The following is an 18351-nucleotide window of genomic DNA, read 5'->3' as shown; positions in this document are numbered from 1 at the left end:
GCCTCCCAGGTTCAACTGTTTCTCCTGCCTCAGCATCCTGAGTAGATGGGATCACAGGCGCCCACCACCACACGCGGCTAATTTTTTTTATTTTTAGTAAAGATGGGACTTCACTGTGTTAGCCAGGATGGTCTCGATCTCCTTGACCTCGTGATCCGCCTGCCTCAGCCTCCCAAAGTGTTGGGATTACAGGCGTGAACCACTGCGCCTGGTCATACCTGGCTAATTTTTGTATTTTTGGTAGATACGGGGTTTCGCCATGTTGGCCAGGCTGGTCTCAAACTCCTAACCTCAGGTCATCCACCCACCTCAGCCTCCCAAAGTGCTGGGATTAGAGCCGTGAGCCACCATGCCCAGCATTTTCGGTGAATTTCAAGATACATATTGAAATAACCTGGCTGGGCACAGTGGCTTACTCCTGTAATCCCAGCATTTTGGGAGGCCGAGGTGGGAGGATCACGAGGTCAGGAGTTTGAGACCAGCCTGACCAACGTGTGAAACCCCATCTCTACTAAAAATACCAAAATTAGCCAGGCGTGGTGGTGCGTACCTGTAATCCCAGCTACTCAGGAGGCTGAGGCAGGAGAATCTCTTGAACTCAGGAGGCAGAGGTTGCAGTGAGCCGAGATCGCGCCACTGCATGACAGAGGGAGACTCTGTCTCAAAAAAAAAAAAAAAAAGAAATGACCTGAGAGCATAGGGTCTTCGAAAATCTAGTAATCCAAGCCAGTTTTTTCAGTATTCCATAGAATGATATCATCCTTCCTTTTATATGTAAACAAAGTTAACGCAGTGACTGACTTTTAATGTCCAATATAAAATCAAGATGACAGTATTCTGGACTCAGAATGTCAGAGCAATGGCCAGGAAAGTTCTTTCACAGGGCGATCAACAGGCTTTTGGTAACTTTCACAACCCATGGACACTTTCCTGCTGAGTAAAGTAATACATTAAATCCAAACCTCGGCCGGTGCAGTGGCTCCCGCCTGAAATCCCAGCACTTTGGGAGGCTGAGGTGGGCAGATCACGTGAGGTCAGGAGTTCAAGACCAGCCTAGCGAACATGGTGAAACCCCATCTCTACTAAAAATACAAAAAATCAGCTGGGTGTGGTGGTGGGCGCCTGTGATCCCAGGTACTCAGGAGGCTGAGGCAGAATCGCTTGAACCCGGGAGGCAGAGCTTGCAGTGAGTAGAGATCACGCCATTGCACTCCAGCCTAGGCGACAGAGTGAGACTCCATCTCAAAAAAAAAAAAAATCCAAACCTCTCCTCTCATACGTTTGTTAGGCCAGGCTCACCAGCGAGAAACAATTCAGCTCTGGCTGGTTGGTTAGAAACGAATCTTGACACGAATCAAAGATCTCGTTCTTGTGCAATACCGATCAATTTATTTCCTTCCCTGGGAATGAGGGTGTAGTATGAATTTCCAAAGGAAAAACGCTCATTTTTGGTCTTTTATCTTAAGCAGGCAGACAGGTGCCGGGCACGTGCCTGGCAGATGCCCTTCATGGCTAGTTCCCAGGTACGGGCAGGGACCTCGCATGGCTGTGGTTACCCTGGGCTGGCAGGGGGCAGTCAGAGCTCTTTCCATTTCCCACAATTGCCTGGCCACCTAGGTCTAAAATGCAGAGAGAGGACGTGCAGGGGGTGGCTCTGGAGTTACAAAGCTGCCCCTGAAGCCTGCTGGACGGGACACGGGTCGAGGGAAGGACATTTCTCCATTCAGGTATTACGTGTGGGGCTGAGAGAGCTGGCCACTAGCTCGGGACTCCAAAAACCAGGTTGAAAAGCAAGGCTTCCTCACGTTCTGTGAAAGGGATGGCTGGGTTCAGTGTCCACGTAAAACAAATCCCAACTGGTTGAATACGAACTGATTTCAAGAATGGGTAAGACAGATGGGAAATAGATATATATATATTTCCCATCTGTCTTACTAGTACATATACATTTGTATTGGGAAATATATATATAAATTTATATGGTTGGTACCAGCGGAAGAAAAATGAAGATAAAACCAAAACCTCAAGTTAAGTGTCCCATCCTATGAAACATCTCCCTGGGAAAAATTATTCTCAAGTAAACTTTTATTCTCTGGTGCATTCTTAGGAGTTTACATTGGCTTCTGAAACTTCCTAATCAGCCCCAACCTCCGACTCCCTCTGGTTCCACTGAACGAGAGGCCTGCTAACCGTGCCTCAGTTCACTCTTCTCAGTAGCCAAAGGGTCCCTGCTCTCAAAACATGAATGCTCTAACCCGAGGCAGGGACATAGAGACACACGTGTGCAAGGGCCCACTGGGACTGTGCGTATATCTGGGAATTCATTTCCTGGGGAGAAGGAAAGGTGATGGGCAGGCTGGCTGAGGAAAGGTTAGGGAACAGGAGCCCCAAACTCCCCAGAGGCCTGGGGAGGAAGGGGCCCCCCGAAACTTTAACAAAAGGCAAGTTTTGAATCTGGTTGTTGATAACAAGAATTGAAATGTCCTAGACCCTGTGTGAGAAACGCACCACACGGAGGAGAGGTCTTGAGGAAAGGCCCTGTCGCGTTTCACGTGGCACGCCCTGGATCTCTTGCCGTAACAGTGGCTCAAAAGAAAATGCACCAGAGTAATGATGCTGTGGGCTCTAAGGGTCTCCGCAAAGACGCACCCCCCTCATAAGCGGATTCTAGTCTCTGGGTTTCACTGCCAGCCTGCCCCAGAGCAGTGCTTGGCCCAACACCCTGCCAACGGGGTGAGCGGGCTTACAAACCGCTCATGCGTGAAGGTTACGTAAAAACAAGCCGCCCAGCTCCCCTGCAGGCAGGCGGATGGACAAACGGCACTGCTGGGACCCTGCTTGGCCATGGGGGAAGGACACACACAGCCTGGGTGAGTCCCCGAATCACTGTACCGAGTGGAAGATGTCAGAGGAAACCACGTACGCACTGCAGGAGGCCATTATGCAAAGCTCTAGAAGATGCAAATTAACCTACAGTGACTGAAGGCAGGTCAGTGGTTACCTGGGGACAGGTGGGGCAAGGAGGGGTCGGAGGGGGATTACATAGGACACAGGGAACTCTGGGGTCCGGGCGTCTACGCTGCTTGGACTGCAGGGATGGCTTCTGGTGTTTATACGTATTTCAAAACTCATCAAATTGTACTCTTTAAGTATGTACAGTTCAGTGTATGTCAATGATACTGCAATAAAATTGTTACCCACAGAAAGAAAACAAAAAGCAGCCCAAGGCGAAAAAGTCGATCCTGTGCCCTGAGCACAGGCAGTCCTGAGGTGCGAGCGGTTTCCCACCAGGCTCTTCTTGGCCTTTCGAGAACTTCAGCCCCTCTCTGCTGTTTCCTGTTGCTGGCATCCACTTTCCCATCTCACAATATTTTCTCCTGTCTGGTCTCCTGTATCTGAAACCCACTGCTACGGGATCTCCCCTCTTTCTGGAAAATGTTCATTAAACAGGAAACAAACCCACCCTTTAAGCATCTTCCTTTCTTGCATGAAGCTGAGTAACTCACCATCTGCCCTTGCTTCCAGGCAGCTCAGCTAGACTGCCCACAGCCACACTGTCCAGTATGGAAGCCCTGGCCACATGTTTACATTAATTAAAATAAAACACAGCCGGGCATGGTGGCACGAGCCTGTAGTCCCAGCTATTCGGGAGGCTGAGATGGGAGGATTGCTTCGGTCCAGAAGTTTGAGACCAGCCTGGGCAACGTGGCGAGACCTCATCTCCGAAACAAGTAAATACAACTAAAAATCCAGTTCCTCAGTTCCATGAGTCATGCCTAAAATGCTCAACGGCCCTATGTGGCCAGCAGCTACTGAAGTGGACAGCACCAAATACAACATTTCCATCATCCCAGAACGTTCTGTCAGAAAGGCTGCTCCAAAGAGACAGTCCTTGACCTTCCGGAACTGCACAGTTTGGTGAGATGTGTGCAGAGACAGAGGAAAGCCGGCTTCCCTTTATCCACACACACAGATGGCCAGCATCTCCGGGTGTGCCGAGAAAAGGAAACAACAGGCTCAGGCTGAATGAACCAAAGGGTGCCGGCCCCTTGTTGGCAGGGAGCAGCTTAACTTGCGGAAGCCGGGAGAGAGGCCTGGTGGGGGCCCAGCTCCCCAGGCAGGGGCGGCAGAGTGGGTGATGGGGGCTTCTCTGCAGGTGCACTGCGGAGGCAGACACCAGCGAATCCGGCAGAGACGGGAACTAGCCAGATAAACCCCGAGGGAGGGGTGGGGGCAGGTGGTCTAGGAGGCAGGAACTGCAGGTCTGCAGAATGGGGGGCAGCCAGAAGACCAGAGGCAGATGAGGCTGGTGAGAGGTGGGCCCAGTGGGGGGCCACCTGGGGAAGACAGCCTCACTCTGTCCACCCAGTGTCCTGGCCCACCTTGTCACTCAGATCCCCTCATGTTATCACCACCTGAGATGTCCAGTCTGCCCCAGGAGAGCAATCAGCTAATCCCCCTGCCTGGAATTCACCCTAGCACTCAGAGACCAGATATGCTTTGTGAGGGTTCTCTGGGCTGGCAAAGTGGCGGCGGTGGGAGTGGCCGGGAGACCCTGGGATGGTGGTGACTGGAAGCAGAAGGCAGCAAAGGAGATGAAAAGTGGGGACATTAAAGAACTCCTGAGGCTGGCCGGGCGCGATGGCTCATGCCTGTAATCCCAGCACTTTGGGAGGCCGAGATGGGTGGATCACGAGGTCAGCAGATCGAGACCATCCTGGCTAACACGGTGAAACCCCATCTCTACTAAAAATACAAAAAATTAGCCGGGCGTGTTGGCGGGCACCTGTAGTCTCAGCTACTCGGGAGGCTGAGGCAGAAGAATGGCATAAACCTGGGAGGTGGAGCTTGCAGTGAGCCGAGATTGCGCCACTGTACTCCAGCATGGGTGACAGAGCGAGACTCCATCTCAAAAAAGAAAAAAAAAAAAAAAAAAAAAGAACTCCTGAGGCCAAAAGAACACCAGGACCTAGTGGCGGCTAGATACTTGGGGTGACAAGGGGAGCTCGGGACCTCAGTTTTCTTTTTTTTTCTTTTTTTTTTTTTTTGAGACGGAGTCTCCCTCAATTGCCCAGGCTGGAGTGCAGTAGCGTTGCAATCTCGGCTCACTGCAAGCTCTACCTCCTGTGTTCAAGCGATTCTCCTGCTTCAGCCTTCCAAGTAGCTGGGAGTACAGGTGTGCATCACCATGCCCAGCTAATTTTTGTATTTTTAGTAGAGACGGGGTTTCACCATATTGGCCAGGCTGGTCTCGAACTCCTTACCTCATGATCCACCCGCCTCGGCCTTTCAAAGTGTTGGGATTACGGGCGTGAGCCACTGCGCCCAGCGTTGGGACCCCAACTTTCAACAGGGCAAAGGAAAACAAGTCCGGAGAGCCGGCACCCCATGCAGCTCCTGGGCAAGCTTCTGTAGTGATTTTCATGCACTAACAGCTCATCCTCCAGCCCTGGTAATAAATGGGAACCTGGGAAAGGGGCCCATCCAAAAATCTTGTGCCCCTCACCTGATGCCCATCTGGCACAGATTAAGGATCTAGGAGGCTCTGCATGCCATGGGTCTTCCTGCTGAGGCCTGAGGACATGCTCCATATCTGGTCCCCAGGGCCCATGAGCCAGACTGAGGCACAGCTGCAAAGTGACTGAACTGTGTTGTCGCAATGGTCAAGGTCAATAAGAGCAGAGAACGAGGGGCCACCGCAGAACACAGGACACAACAAGGACACAGGGACCCCTGAGCCCCTTACACAGCCAGAGAAAGCAGCGTGGGAAGACGCCTGCACTTGGGAAGCTGGGTGAGGAGTGTTAATTCTGCAACCTTTCTGTACATATTTCAAAATGGTTTTTAAAAACGTAAAAATGAAACAGATATTTCATTTAGAAATCTTAATTTTGGAAGAACTGACTTCTCTCAGCTCTCGGCCCTGTCTGACTGCTGCCAGCGTGGCCCGGGGGCTCCCGCAGCGGAGCGGCAGAGGGGCAGGCTGCGCCCAGCGGCCTCCGGGCCACTTCGGCCTCTGTCCCGTGTTCTCTCTGGCTGGCAGGTACCTCCTTCTCCATGGTTCCTACATGTATTTGCTCCACTTTTTAGGGAGACTGCTGTACTCCTGGTGAGTGGTACAGCTACACCAGGCCAGCTTTCAGAGGCACCTAGGAAAGGCAGCTCTGGCAGCCCCATCTTGATAGCTTCATTTAAAAAACATTTTTTAAAAAACTGTTCTTAATATCATAACATGGCAGGAAAAGAAATCGCATACTCTGGCCAAGCAGTGGTGGATTTACTATTTGTCATATGAAAAACAAAAATAAAAATTTCTGATTCAGCATCTTAATTCATTGATGGAAAAGACTTCCTGCAGATCGTCTGGCGCAGAGGAGAAAAAAAGAAGGAAAAATGGCAGACTGATCATCTCTGTAGAGCGGGATTATGGTGTTTGTTTTCTCCAGCTGAATCCTACCCAAATAGTCTATGAAATGGATGACATTTATTTATTTATTTTTATCTATTTATTTATTTTGAGACAGAGTCTCACTCTTGTTGCCCAGGCTGGAGTGCAGTGGTATGATCTTGGTTCACCACAACATCTGCCTCCTGGGTTCAAGTGATTCTCCTGCCTCAGCCTCCCGAGTGCTGGGACTACAGGGGCCTGCCGCCACACCTGGCTAATTTTTTTTTCTTTTTTTTTTCTTTAGTAGAGACAGGGTTTCGCCAGGTTCGCCAGGCTGGTCTCAAACTCCTGACCTGAGATGAGGAGGTCAGGAGTTCAATGTCAAATGTTGGGAGGCTGAGGTGGGAGGATTGCTTGAGTCCAGGAGTTTGAGACCAGCCTGGGCAACATAGCGTGACCTCATCTCTCGCCTGCCTCAGCCTCCCAAAGTGCTGGGATTACACATGTGAGAGTCGCTGCGCCTGGCCGGTAACTTTTATTTAACTCGGAAAAAATAAGTTTTGGATAAAACTGTCTTCCCTTGCATCCTTTCCTTACATAGCATCAAATGCCGAATGATCAGCAAACATCACCATCTGGGCTTGTTGAGAGAACACCCACTCCAGCTGCCTGCCATGAGCCTGGGGGGTGTTACCAGCAGCAGTTTCTTTAGGGTTAAGAAGATTTTAAGGCAAATAATGACCACTAATATTCACATGTCATCTCTCACACCTTATTTTTCCTCTTGTAAGCTAAGCAGTTGATCACTATGGGAGAAGGGCTCTTTGCTGCCCGGGTAAGCCCGGCAAACGTGGTGGCTCTGCCCGGCCCTCCTCTGGAGCTGCACCGGACGGTGCGTGTGGAGGCAGCATCTGCTCCTTGCCAGCCCCCACCCCGTTCAGCTGCTGTTTCCCACCTTCTTCTTTTCCACTGGGAAATAACTTGAGGGTTTTAAAAAACTTTGTATCAGAGCCTGCACAACCAGAAACTGCACTGTCTGGTAGGCGGCTAGCAATGTCCGGTGCCTGCCGTCCACGGCGGCCCTGAGAACCCGTCAAGGGTTCTGCCCTGACTCTGCTACATCTGCCTGCCCACAATTCTCCAGGCAACCAACAGCCAGTGATGGTGCTTGGATCTTGAGATGAAACTGACTTGCAAAGTCCGCGGCCACTGCAGCCCAGCGAGGGGAAGAGGATGGACCCAGGGTGTGTGGCTCCTGAGGGCCGGGCTGACACTCAGGCTGGGGTCTGCAGACTCCACGGCTTGGGTCAGTCTCTCGGGAGACCCCACCCTCTCTAGCTCCTGTCACTCTCATACACTCAGCTGCCTGTTATCAGAGCACATTGGGAGTCACTGTGGTAATGACCGGCAAGAAGATGGGAACAGGGATGTCTGCTCTGCTCAGGTTTTTATAAAACCCTGCGGATTCTGTCTGCTCAGAAGCTGCAGTGGCTCAGGTTACCCATCTCTGACTAAGCCTTCTTGAGCAGAGTGGCTGGGGACGGAGCTTCTGCTGACAGCTCACCCAGGAGCTCCTCTGCAACAAGACACGCCTGCAGCGTGTGACGTCCCGCTCCCCTCTTATCAGACACACGTCTATGTGATCACAAGTCCCTGCCTAGAAAAGACGCCGACCCACAGGGCACAATGGTCTACAAAGTTGGAAATGAAGGTCTGCTTGATTCAGTAGAGGAGTAGGCATGCCAAATGTTGACAGCATCGAGCCCTCTTCCTTAGTTGTAAAGCCCTGAGGTCTTTCCAAGGGCGCCCCGTTAGCGTTTAATCATAGCCTCCATGCTGGCCAAGCATTGGCTGGCTTCGGGGCTCGGCTCCCGAAGCTCTCGGTGCAGCTTCTCTAAAGCGCTGGGGCAATGGTGGGTCTCAGACTAAAGGTGATAGCTTTGCAAACCACACGCACACCCGCCAGCTTGGTTCAGCAGGAGCCCTGGGGGAGGGCAGATGCACTCACAGCAGCTTGCATGTGAACCGCACAGAGCTGGGCAGCGCCTATCCTGTGCACAGCTCATTTTTAAGCGGCAAGGTTATAATTCCTAGCCTTAACGTTGTCCATCTTGATTTTCTCCTTTCAGTTCCTTCTCGTCCACTATACTGACCACACAGGTACAAGGTGAAAAAAAGAAACCCACCTGAAATCCAGGTCAGGCCACTGAGTGTGGGAGAGCAGTGGAGGGCGGTGCCCAGCACAGGGGGCAGCCACAGCTCCACAGCTGAGCGAGGGCAGCCCTGGCACTCCAGGCTTCTGGGGAGCAGCCCTCCGGTGCCTGCAGCTGCCTGACATGGAAGCAAGTGCCCAGGCCGGTGTCGGGTTCACTCTGCATCCTGGCTGGGCACTTCTGGGGTGGGTGACCTTGGTTCAGCCCCTCCACTTCTCAGGACAAGTTTCCTTCCCAGTAAAATGCCTATAGTCACCCTGAGCTCCAAAATCCATGAACCTTTGCGTTCCCTTAGGTTGAGAGCTTTAACTCAGCTTTGCTGGAACCGGGGCATTCCAATCAATGCATAACCACCTCGCGACAGACACGAAGCCCAAACGCAATAGAAACCACAGGAAAGGAGGAATGATACAACATACTGTTATGATTTTTATAAACACGCTTTAAACCAAACTAGGCCATAAATCACCTTGGTTTCAGAAAAAGCCAAAATACTGACACAATCTTTTATTTTCCTATTAAAGTCAAGAATGTGTTAAGCCGAATTAATTGAAAAGGAATTGAAGCTCATTTCCTAAGACACTTCTATTCATAAGTCAAACAGCATTACCTAACTCCTAGAATGAGAGAATTTCTGGGCTTGGAGATCGCCTAGTGCAATTCACTCCTTTGATGGAAAATCGAACCCCAGGCAGGCGACAGGCCAAGGTCACAGAGGCAAAGCAGGGATGGGAACCAGCCTCCCTGAACCTGTTTCTGACAAAGGGCGAGGTTCTGGGCCCACACACAGGCAGGCCGAGCTCAGTATCTGACGGTGAATGAATGAAGCTAAGTGGTGCTCCCCACAGGGCCCGGCTCTTGTAACTGCTTCACAGACAAGCGATTTCCAGGTTATGGAGACATCCTAGCACAGAATTAAACGCTTCAAACTCAGACTGTTAACTCCTCAGAAGCCAGAGTGGAGTTTCTCAGCCCTGGCTACATCAGCTAACAATCTCGCCAAGCAAGGAACCAAGGGGGCAAAGACATCACCTCCAGAAACTCGAGTGTTCCTTCTGCTGACAGAGGAGCAGCCCGCCTGCGGCCTTGTTCTGTGTTTACATCAACCACCCAATTCACCCGTGTCACAGACCTTCAAAATACGGGATTAGGGACAAGGGAAAGGTCTCCAACATCATCCACAGACGGCTGCAGCCCCCTAAGAACACCAAAAGATTCCTTTTCTAGATGGGTTTAGAATGGCAGCCAACAGAGGTAGCACTTGGGGTCGGGAAACGGTTTTGACTGAACACACGCACGAAAGCAAAGGCAATTGTCATGCAGAGGTGGGTGGGGAGGGGAGAGTGAGGCCTGGCTTTGAAGCTGAGCTCCCCGGGGATGACGCCAGGCACATCGGGTTTGGGGCTGAAGATTCAGGGCTGGGGGCACGGAGGAGGGGGCCAGGGCCCAGGCCTGGGCGGAAAAGGGGGTCCCCGGGAGTCGGGGTGGGGTCCCGGGGCAGGCGGGGGAGTGCTCTAGGGAGGTGTCTCACGGCGGGCAGAGGGGGTGGGGAAGTCCCGGGGCGGGGGATATGGGGTCCAGGCGGGTCTCGGGGCGGGGTCTGGGGGTCCAGGGGTCCCGCGGTCCGGGGTGCCGGAGCGGGGTCTGGGGTCGGGACGGGTGTTGGGTCCGGGGCCCGGGGCTGGCTGGGGGTCCGGGACGGGGATGCGGGCGGGTCCCGCGGCCCACGCACCTCCTCCGCCTGCCTGCGCAGCGCCTTCTCACGCTCGTACTGGGTGAGCAGCTGCTCGTTGTCCTCGCGCAGCAGCTCCAGCTCCACCTCGTGCTCCTGGTTCTCGCTGAGCACCGAGTCTAGGTTCTCCAGCACGTTCACCACCAGCGGCATGAGCTCCTTGACCACCTCCTCGTCGTAGCAGTGGATGAGGCGCTCGAACTCGCGGTAGATGGAGCCCGCCAGGCCCGACACCCGCTCCGACATCACCGAGCCGGAGCAGTAGTCGTCCTGGTACACCACCACGCCGCCGCCCTCGTCCATCTGGATCTCCATCATCGCGGCCACCGCCGCCGCCAGCGCGGCTCGCTATCCGGCCGGCGCGCCCGGCCCTCCCCAGCTGCCTCAGGTTCCGCAGGCCGCAGCCCGTCGCCTCCCGCAGCTGCTGTCGCCTCAGGGCTCCGCCGCCGCCGCTGCCGAGGCTGCGCCCGTCACTCACTCACCGGAAGTCCCGCCCTCCAGCCGGAGGGGGCGGTGCCCGCGCGTCCCGCCGCAGCCGCGCCGCCAGGGGGCGCAGGGGCCGTGACGTCAGAGGAAGCCGGGCTTCGGGCCGGAAGCGCGGGTGAGCCGGGCAGAGGGAGCTCCCGGCCAGGCCGGTGGGATCCGCGGGGCGGCAGTGGTCGCTTCCCCCAGCGCGCTGTAGCTTGATCATGTCCCCGCAACCGTGGGCTTCCGGTGACCTCGATCCCGTCTCCAGGCTCTGCACACTTCGGCGGACTTAGGTGAAGGCTCAGCGCCTGCGCCTCAATCCCGGCCGCCCTGATGAGCCTCCGTTCCCTACAGCACCGCGCCCCGCTCAGTGCCTCCCCTCTCCTGATGCCTTCCCCGCTCAGCTGGCTCCTCCCGGGATTCTGTGAATGCACCCTCAACGCCCATCTCATCCTGAAACCCAGCAGCGTGGCCTCCTTCCTTTCGCCCACTTCTCCCTACTGCACTGACTGCTTCAGATTTTCTTTTTTTTTTTTTTTTTTGAGATGGAGTCTTGCTCTGTCGCCCAGGCTGGAGTGCGGTGGCGCGATCCTGGCTCACTGCAAGCTCCGCCTTCTGGGTTCAAGTGATTCTTCTCCCTCAGCCTCCGGAGTAGCTGGGATTACAGACCAGCTAATTTTGTATTTTTAGTAGAGACGGGGTTTCGCCATGTTGGCCAGGCTGGTCTCAAATTTCTGATCTCAAGTGATCCGCCCGCCTCGACCTCCCAGAGTGCTGGGATGACAGGCGTGAGCCACCGCGCCAGTCCAGATTTTCGGTTACTTTTCAGCTACGTGCAATCTGTTTAACCCATCCACTGGGTTATTAATTGCACCGATTTTTTTTTTTTTGAGACGGTGTTTCGCTCTTGTCGCCCAGGCTGGAGTGTGATGGCGCGATCTCGGCTCACTGCAACCTTCGCCTCCTGGGTCCAAGCGATTCTCCTGCCTCAGCCTCCTGAGTAGCTGGGACTACAGACACGCGCTATTAACGCCCGGCTCATTTTTTTGTATTTTTAGTAGAGACGGGGTTTCACCATGTTGGCCAGGCTGGTCTTGAACTGCTGACCTCAAGTGATCCACCCGCCTCCCTCGGCGTCCCAAAGTGCTGGGATTACAGGCGTGAGCCACTGCACCCTGCCAATGATTCTGTTTTTGTCCTATTTGATTTCTTATATTCTAGCAGTTTTAATAGGCTCTTATACTTCCAACCACATATTTATCTTTAAGCGTTGGGTGTGCCTCATAACTACAGTATCTGCAGCCCTTGCAGGTCTGATTCTGCATGTCATCCTGGTTGACTCTTGGCCCAGGGTCCCCTTTCCCCCATTCTGAGCCAGTGTCCCCAGGACTTTTGTCTCTGGAAGTACTTGAGGCCTGAACTTAAAATGTGTTGCTCCGTAAGATTTGCACTTTATTTTGCTGGGCAGGGGACACCATGAACCCAAGACTTTGAAACTCAATTTGGGAGCCACACATGTATTGTGAATCCTGATGAAACCACATCAGTGACTATTTAATGCTAATAGAAATGGCCACTTACCGTCTTTCACCTACTGCAATGCTCATCAGTTCAGATCCTCTCATCCTAATCTGATTGCACCGAAACAGTAACTCCCGTAGCTGACACCCTACTGATTTTTTTTGTTGTTCAGTTTTTAGAGGCAGGGTCTCACCCTGTTGCTCAGGCTGGAGGCACTGGCATGATCAGGGCTCACTTGAACTCTTAGGCTCAAGTGATCCCACCTCAGCCTCCTAAGTAGTTGGGTCTACAGGTGTAAGCCACCACTGCTTGGCCAATTTTAAAAACATTTTTGTAGAGACAGAGGTCTCACTGTTACTCTGGCTGGTCTTGAACTCCTGGCCTCAAGCGATCCTCCCCCTTGGCCTCCCAAAGTGCTTAGATGACAGGTGTGAGCCACCATGCCAGGCTCTATTGTGTTTTTCACATTTTCCACTTGCAACATAATTTGCCGTATACATGTTCAACCATCCCACTAAGAGGTTTCATTCAGCCTCAGATTCCAATTTCCTGGGATCCCAAGTGACTTAATTTTGCCAAATCTCCATTTCTTTTCTTTTCTTTTTTTTTTTTTCCTGAGATGGAGTCTCAGTCTGTGGCCCAGGCTGGAGTGCAGTGGCACCATCTCAGCTCACTGTTACTTCCGCCCCCCGTGTTCAAGCCATTCTCCTGCCTCAGCCTCCCGAGTAGCTGGGACTACAGGCATGTGCTACCACGCCTGGCTAATTTTTGTAATTTTTAGTAGAGATGGGGGTTTCACCATACTGGTCAGGCCGGTCTCAAACTCCTGACCTCAGGTGATCCACCCACCTCAGCCTCCCAGTGTTGGGATTACAGGCATGAGCCACCGTGCCTGGCCCCAAATCTCTGTTTCTAAGCCTGCAAAACAGCCTAAAATATCCAGCCTATTAGGAATGTCAGCTAATCCATGAAAGGAGCATGGCGCCATCTCCAGCAAATAACGTGCGATAAAGGTTACGGAGAGTTGTGAGGTTCCATAAAGTGAAAATGATAAGGCTGGGCAAACAGATGTAATCTATAATTCTTCCTGGTGAACAAGTTAGAGCAAGCTTGCATTTTGGGGGATGTTTAAAGCTTCTGCTTTATACCTTTGAGAAACTTGAGCCCTTTGAATTCCTGAGGTAGCACACTACAGTAGGAACAATGCTACCACAGGGAGAGGCCAACAGACTTGGCCATCAACTCAATTGATTAATTATCACTACCATGATTGCACAGATTTGTTACTTTAAGTTGGTTAAAATGAAATTTTAACAAGGTGCTGGATAATTCTTGACACTTATGGAATCATACAACTGGTCTTCTCCTGAAAGTTGGTGCTGAATTAGAACTGCTTACAGCTGGGCATAGTGGCTTACACCAGTAATCCCAGCACTTTGGGAGGCCAAGGAGGGAGGATCGCTTGAATCCAGAAGCTTGAGACCAGCCCGGGCAACATAGTGAAACCCAGACTCTACCAAAAAAAAAAAAAAATCAGCCAGGCGTGGTGGTGCATGCCTGCAGTCCCAGCTACTTGGGAGGCTGAGGTGGGAGGATCACTTGAGCCTGGGAGGTTGAGGCTGCAGTGAGCAGATTGTGCCACTGCACTCCAGCCTGGGTGACAGAATGGCTCTGTCTAAAAAAAAAGAAGAACGAACTTCTAGTAACAGAGGAGTTGACTTCCTTTCAGATTCAGAAATACTATTTGGGATGCAACTTTTTCTCACTAAAATACCTTAAAATGTAAGATGGGCATTAAAATATAAAATGTAAGTTTCTAAAATTCAACTTTAATTTCTAAGTATCTGCCCTGATGCCTGCTAAGAAGCCACACAGTTCCCTGTGATGTTCCTCTCATCTTCATGAGCTGAGTTTGAGAGAGCATCTTTAGATAGCACTTTGTAGCCACACATTACACAGGAGTATTTCAGTGATGATCTTCAAGATGGTCAGGATTATGAGTGCAGAAGAAATTAAGCAGCCAGCACGGGAGGAGGCATCTACACACTCACAGGGTGTGACCTACCAGGTACACCACAAAGATCATATGGCAAAGTTACCTGACATCAAAAGAGCCTGTGTATTCCTGGACAAGGCACGGGGCTCGAGGTGGCAACCCTTCGGGGTCTGTTATTCACACCCTCACCCTGTACCAGGTGGCACCCGCGTCCTTCTAGACTTGGCCACTGCCAGGCCTCTGGAGACGGAGGAGCTGTGACTCCCAGAGGTTCCCATGCTTGCTGGTGGCCTTGGCAGCTGCTAGAAATAGGAAACTTAGCGTGTCATTTCCTAGCCTGGTTCTTGGAACTCGCTCTATACCCTGTGGATGAACAAGTGAAGACGGTGTTTCAGTTAATGCATGTTGGTTTTCTTTCTCAAGCGTTGACTTTCATCTCATCTGGCCCCGATCTAGCAGGCAGAATGGTGTGGAGCCTCCTAGAGAGGAACTCTCAGGCTCACAGTCTGAGAAGTTTACCCTGAATCCACATAATGCCTGTAAGGATATTAAGTATGTTAGAAAACATATGAAAATAGCTAATACATCAGAAGAAAGACATCCAATCTGTTTTTTATTTTATTTTTTTACACAGGGTCTTGCTCTGTGGTCCAGGCTGAAGTGCAGTGGCATGATCATCACTCACTACAGCCACAACCTCCTGGTCTCAAGTGATCCTCCTGCCTCACTCAGCCTCCCGAGTAGCTGGGACTACAGGCATGCACCACCACATCCGGCTAATTTAGAGAAGTTTTTTTTTGTATAGACAGGGTCGTAGTATGTTGTCTAGGCTGGTCTCAAACTCCTGAGCTCAAGTGATCCTCCCACCCTGGCCTCCCAAAGACCCAAAGACTACAGACCTGAGCCACCATGCCCACCTGTTTTCTTGACAGGACTTGCATATGACAAGCTCTCTGCTTCTCCTCACCTATGCATTGCAAGCCAGGTCAGAGGCAGGTTAAACACCTTAAGGACATGTTAGGACAAGTGGCATACAAGGGAAAAAAACCCGTTCATTTAAGTTACAGAAACAGAAAAAAAAAAACTGGCTTATTCCCACACTTACTCTACTCAAAGCTTTGAGAAGACTAATTTTGGCATCCTCTGGCTAAATACAAAACAACAAAACAAAACAAGGCAAACTCTTTCAGCAAGAGCTGTGGGGGAAGGGACTATAAGGGACACACACAACTGACAGGCAAAAGCTCTGAGCACGTGATTGCTAAGTTTAATTCAACTGTTACACCCCATTCTGCCTTGTAAAAATAACAAAACGCTCCTATCAAAATGACATTGTGATGTGAGTACAGGCTTTTTGTTTTGGTACAGCTCTAAAAAATGTTGGCACCGAATGCACTTAAGAAAAGTGTTAAGGCTTAATACAAATACAGAGACGAGTCATTTCTCAATGCAGCTTAGAGGGTGAGAACAGGATGCTAGGTTTTTAAATCTTCCAAATACAGGCAGTCCCCAACGTACAGACATACAGGACACCTCCCAAATGTAAACGACAGCCACACAGCAGGGCTTGCATGCGCAGGAACTCTTCTTCTCCCAGTGAGCAGACTAAGCACTCTGAATCCCACCCCACTGCCTCGCAGAGGGAAAGAAGGCAGGACAGATGCAAGAAGAGTAATGTCAGGGGCTCCATCACAGCTGCCCAGGGGCTTCTGCTGTAGTTCATATTTTCCTCATTCCCATCTCTGGTTTCTCCCATAACCCAGAAGTCCCTGCCAGGGGCGGAAGTAAAGAGCTTTTCCTCTCACCTAGCGGACTGCAAGGGCTGGGAGAATCACAGGGCCCAGTACCGTCACGTCCTATTTCTTCCTGGCAATCTGATTTGGAATTCGTGAATCATTTTCTCAATAAAAAAACAGAAGTTATAAATGGTAGTTCATTTCCACCATTAAACTGTTTCCTTTCAAGTTGCATCAATGACTTTGAAGCACAAACCACCTGAAGTGTGTGTAGAGTCACACAGAGTGTTTCTTGGCTCCAAAGTCTACAGGCAATCAAAAGGGGGAAGCTGTCTTTGGTTGACAAAGCCTTGTGCAGACCCCAGTGTGCCAGGTGTAGGAAGGGGAGCTTGGCAGGCGGCTCCTGCAGGCACTTAAGCAGTGAGGCAGCATGAGCCTGACTGAACATGGCTGCTGCTTTTCTGAAGTTTAATAATGATGATGTTTCTAGCACCAAGCATTAGCTTTGTAGGCACTCAGAGCAAAGCTGCTGCCGCCACCCAGACGTTCTCCTCTGTTAACAGATGCCCACCCAAGGGCAGCATGAGAACTGGGCCTGCAGCCCTTGAGGGGGATGGGCAGAGGCTTCTGCCTGAAGATGAAAGCACCACCACCTTTGCCATCCCATTAGCTGAGTGAGCAAAGCTCAGGGAATTGGACAGGTGTGACTTTGCTACTGAACTCCTTCATCTCCTGGCCTAAGGTCTCTAGTCTCTTCTGGAAGCTTGTTTGTGAGTTAGATCCAGAAGTTCTATAAAGCTTTGTAGAGGGTGGCCTCCACAGCTCTTCTTCCTCTTTGGTGTACCTGAACAATTGACTTTTTTCTGGAAAGGTGTCAGAAACAGACCAGAGTCAACAATCATTTATGTAAAGCTGGTATTTAAAATTTAGCTTTTTAGATATTATTAAAGAATCCAAACCTAAGAACCCAAGGTTCCCAAGCATCTCTTCTTTCCACCAACCAATTAAGGAATAAAGAAAGACACAGGAAGAATTTAAACAAGCCACTTACTCGGAAATATCTGAATAGATTTTTAAAGTCCCGCAGAGGTCAGCGGGCCTCATTTATGGGAAGAACTGTGACTTGTGAAGGGAACTGTCTACATCACTGGAGAACAACAAACGCCTAAACTTAAGGCTGATGAGAGGAAAAAAGCAAGAATTCACAAGCAAAACTGGCATGTAAAGGACCAAGACCAGCCCTGTGTGAAAGACAGGCAGATTCCAACATGAGATCAGATCAGGCCGAGGTTTCAGATGGCAGGAACTGGGCACTTCAGAGGGTCAGGGCACCAAAACAATCTTCCATGAAGTAGAAGACGGATAACTATTATTATTTGGTTTTTTGAAAGCTGCCGAGGAAAAGCAATCAAGATGTTTCAAGAAAAGACTACAGAACAATATGCTGGGGGTAAAATGAAGTGGGGATGCTGGATTTAGCAGCCGTGATCTCCAGAATGGAAGCGGTTCTGCTAAGAGGTCAATATACTGTTAGTGTTTCTGCTTACGCCTCCTCCATCCCACAGCAGCAGTGGACAGGCTGTTTTGGTTTCTTTCAGTCATTCCTAGACATCCAATCAGCTGGCGGGCTGTTGATCCAAGGACCATGCCCTGCCCCACCTCCCCACCCTCACCCCCCTTCCAGTTCCTCTCAAACCTGGACTACACATGAGTGATGGCCAGGGGTGCCCCATTTCATCCCCACAGAGGCATCTCCCAGCCATCTGGAAGGCACGGGTCTCCAAGCAGCTGTCATGACGGCCAGGAGACGCTGAGCAGCCAGGCTCACATAAGACTAACCCTCTTCCCACCCCGCTCATTTGGGCAAAAGGAAATGAAAACATGGCTACCCTATCTCTTGAGTTTCTGGTCTGGCTCCGGGTGGAGCAGTGGCTTCTCTTAGTAGAAGGAGATGCTGGATTTGCCTCCCGGTGGGTTCAGGACCTTGTTGTGAGAGCGAGGCCGCGGCCCCAGCCGGGGCTCATGGCTGTCGACTGTGGGCATGGGCTCCTGCTCCTTGGCGGGGCCTGCTTTTCTGGCGCTGCCTTTCTCACCTGGCTCTGCTCCAGCCGGGATGCTCCTTGCAGCTGTGGGACACAAAGTTAGAACAACATCCCATTAGAGGCAACCCATGACCCTGACAGGCAGGCTGTGGAAATAAAAAGTGTGTCATAGAGCAACCTGCAAGAAATTCATGCTGTAACTGGGAAAGAGAAGACAATATAGACAGGCTTTTCATCTGGTACCAAAACAACTCA

General features: G+C 51.3%; 2 protein-coding genes and 1 long non-coding RNA gene across 15 annotated transcripts in view, besides 6 other annotated features; 1 reads left to right on the top strand and 2 right to left on the bottom strand.

Moving 5' to 3' along the window:
- MAPK8IP3 (mitogen-activated protein kinase 8 interacting protein 3) overlaps positions 1-10796 on the bottom strand; it is a 64157-nt gene extending 53361 nt beyond the window's left edge. For all 8 annotated transcript variants that reach the window (XM_011522429.3, XM_047433812.1, XM_011522430.3 and 5 more), the window contains exon 1: positions 10334-10796. In XM_011522429.3, the coding sequence (XP_011520731.1) occupies positions 10334-10651 (318 nt within the window). In that variant the 5' untranslated portion in view covers positions 10652-10796. The remainder of the gene's footprint in view (positions 1-10333) is intronic.
- Positions 2800-3462, top strand: MAPK8IP3-AS1 (MAPK8IP3 antisense RNA 1). The gene is made up of 2 exons (NR_184234.1): positions 2800-2989; positions 3204-3462. It is a non-coding gene; the product is annotated as an MAPK8IP3 antisense RNA 1 (long non-coding RNA).
- Positions 3004-3053: an enhancer, noted in NCBI's record as "active region_10231". NCBI's record gives its function as "activates an Ori minimal core promoter by ATAC-STARR-seq in GM12878 lymphoblastoid cells {active_cell/tissue: GM12878}" and the evidence as "EXISTENCE:reporter gene assay evidence [ECO:0000049][PMID:35858748]".
- Positions 10253-10302: a silencer, noted in NCBI's record as "silent region_6999". NCBI's record gives its function as "represses an Ori minimal core promoter by ATAC-STARR-seq in GM12878 lymphoblastoid cells {active_cell/tissue: GM12878}" and the evidence as "EXISTENCE:reporter gene assay evidence [ECO:0000049][PMID:35858748]".
- Positions 10323-10432: a silencer, noted in NCBI's record as "silent region_6998". NCBI's record gives its function as "represses an Ori minimal core promoter by ATAC-STARR-seq in GM12878 lymphoblastoid cells {active_cell/tissue: GM12878}" and the evidence as "EXISTENCE:reporter gene assay evidence [ECO:0000049][PMID:35858748]".
- Positions 10601-11465: an enhancer, noted in NCBI's record as "H3K27ac-H3K4me1 hESC enhancer chr16:1755527-1756391 (GRCh37/hg19 assembly coordinates)". NCBI's record gives its function as "activates a minimal SCP1, AML or CMV promoter by ChIP-STARR-seq in naive H9 embryonic stem cells {active_cell/tissue: H9 hESC(naive)}" and the evidence as "EXISTENCE:reporter gene assay evidence [ECO:0000049][PMID:30033119]".
- Positions 10703-11042: a silencer, noted in NCBI's record as "silent region_6997". NCBI's record gives its function as "represses an Ori minimal core promoter by ATAC-STARR-seq in GM12878 lymphoblastoid cells {active_cell/tissue: GM12878}" and the evidence as "EXISTENCE:reporter gene assay evidence [ECO:0000049][PMID:35858748]".
- Positions 11949-12243: a silencer, noted in NCBI's record as "tiled region #3989; K562 Repressive DNase matched - State 1:Tss". NCBI's record gives its function as "represses a minimal TATA promoter and a strong SV40 promoter by Sharpr-MPRA in K562 cells {active_cell/tissue: K562}" and the evidence as "EXISTENCE:reporter gene assay evidence [ECO:0000049][PMID:27701403]".
- Positions 14132-18351, bottom strand: part of JPT2 (Jupiter microtubule associated homolog 2) — a 24581-nt gene continuing 20361 nt past the window's right edge. For 3 of the 6 annotated variants that reach the window (NM_001434665.1, NM_144570.3, NM_001434667.1), the window contains one exon: positions 14905-18180. In NM_001434665.1, the coding sequence (NP_001421594.1) occupies positions 17993-18180 (188 nt within the window). In that variant the 3' untranslated portion in view covers positions 14905-17992. Of the gene's footprint in view, positions 14856-14904; positions 18181-18351 lie in introns of those variants that run through there. The other 3 variants (NM_001434664.1, NM_001434666.1, NM_001434668.1) reach the window with 2 other exon arrangements.

The sequence above is a fragment of the Homo sapiens genome, chromosome 16 (genome assembly GCF_000001405.40).
Source record: "Homo sapiens chromosome 16, GRCh38.p14 Primary Assembly".
Classification (NCBI taxonomy): Eukaryota; Metazoa; Chordata; class Mammalia; order Primates; family Hominidae; genus Homo; species Homo sapiens.
This window is presented reverse-complemented; position numbering and strand designations above follow the sequence as displayed.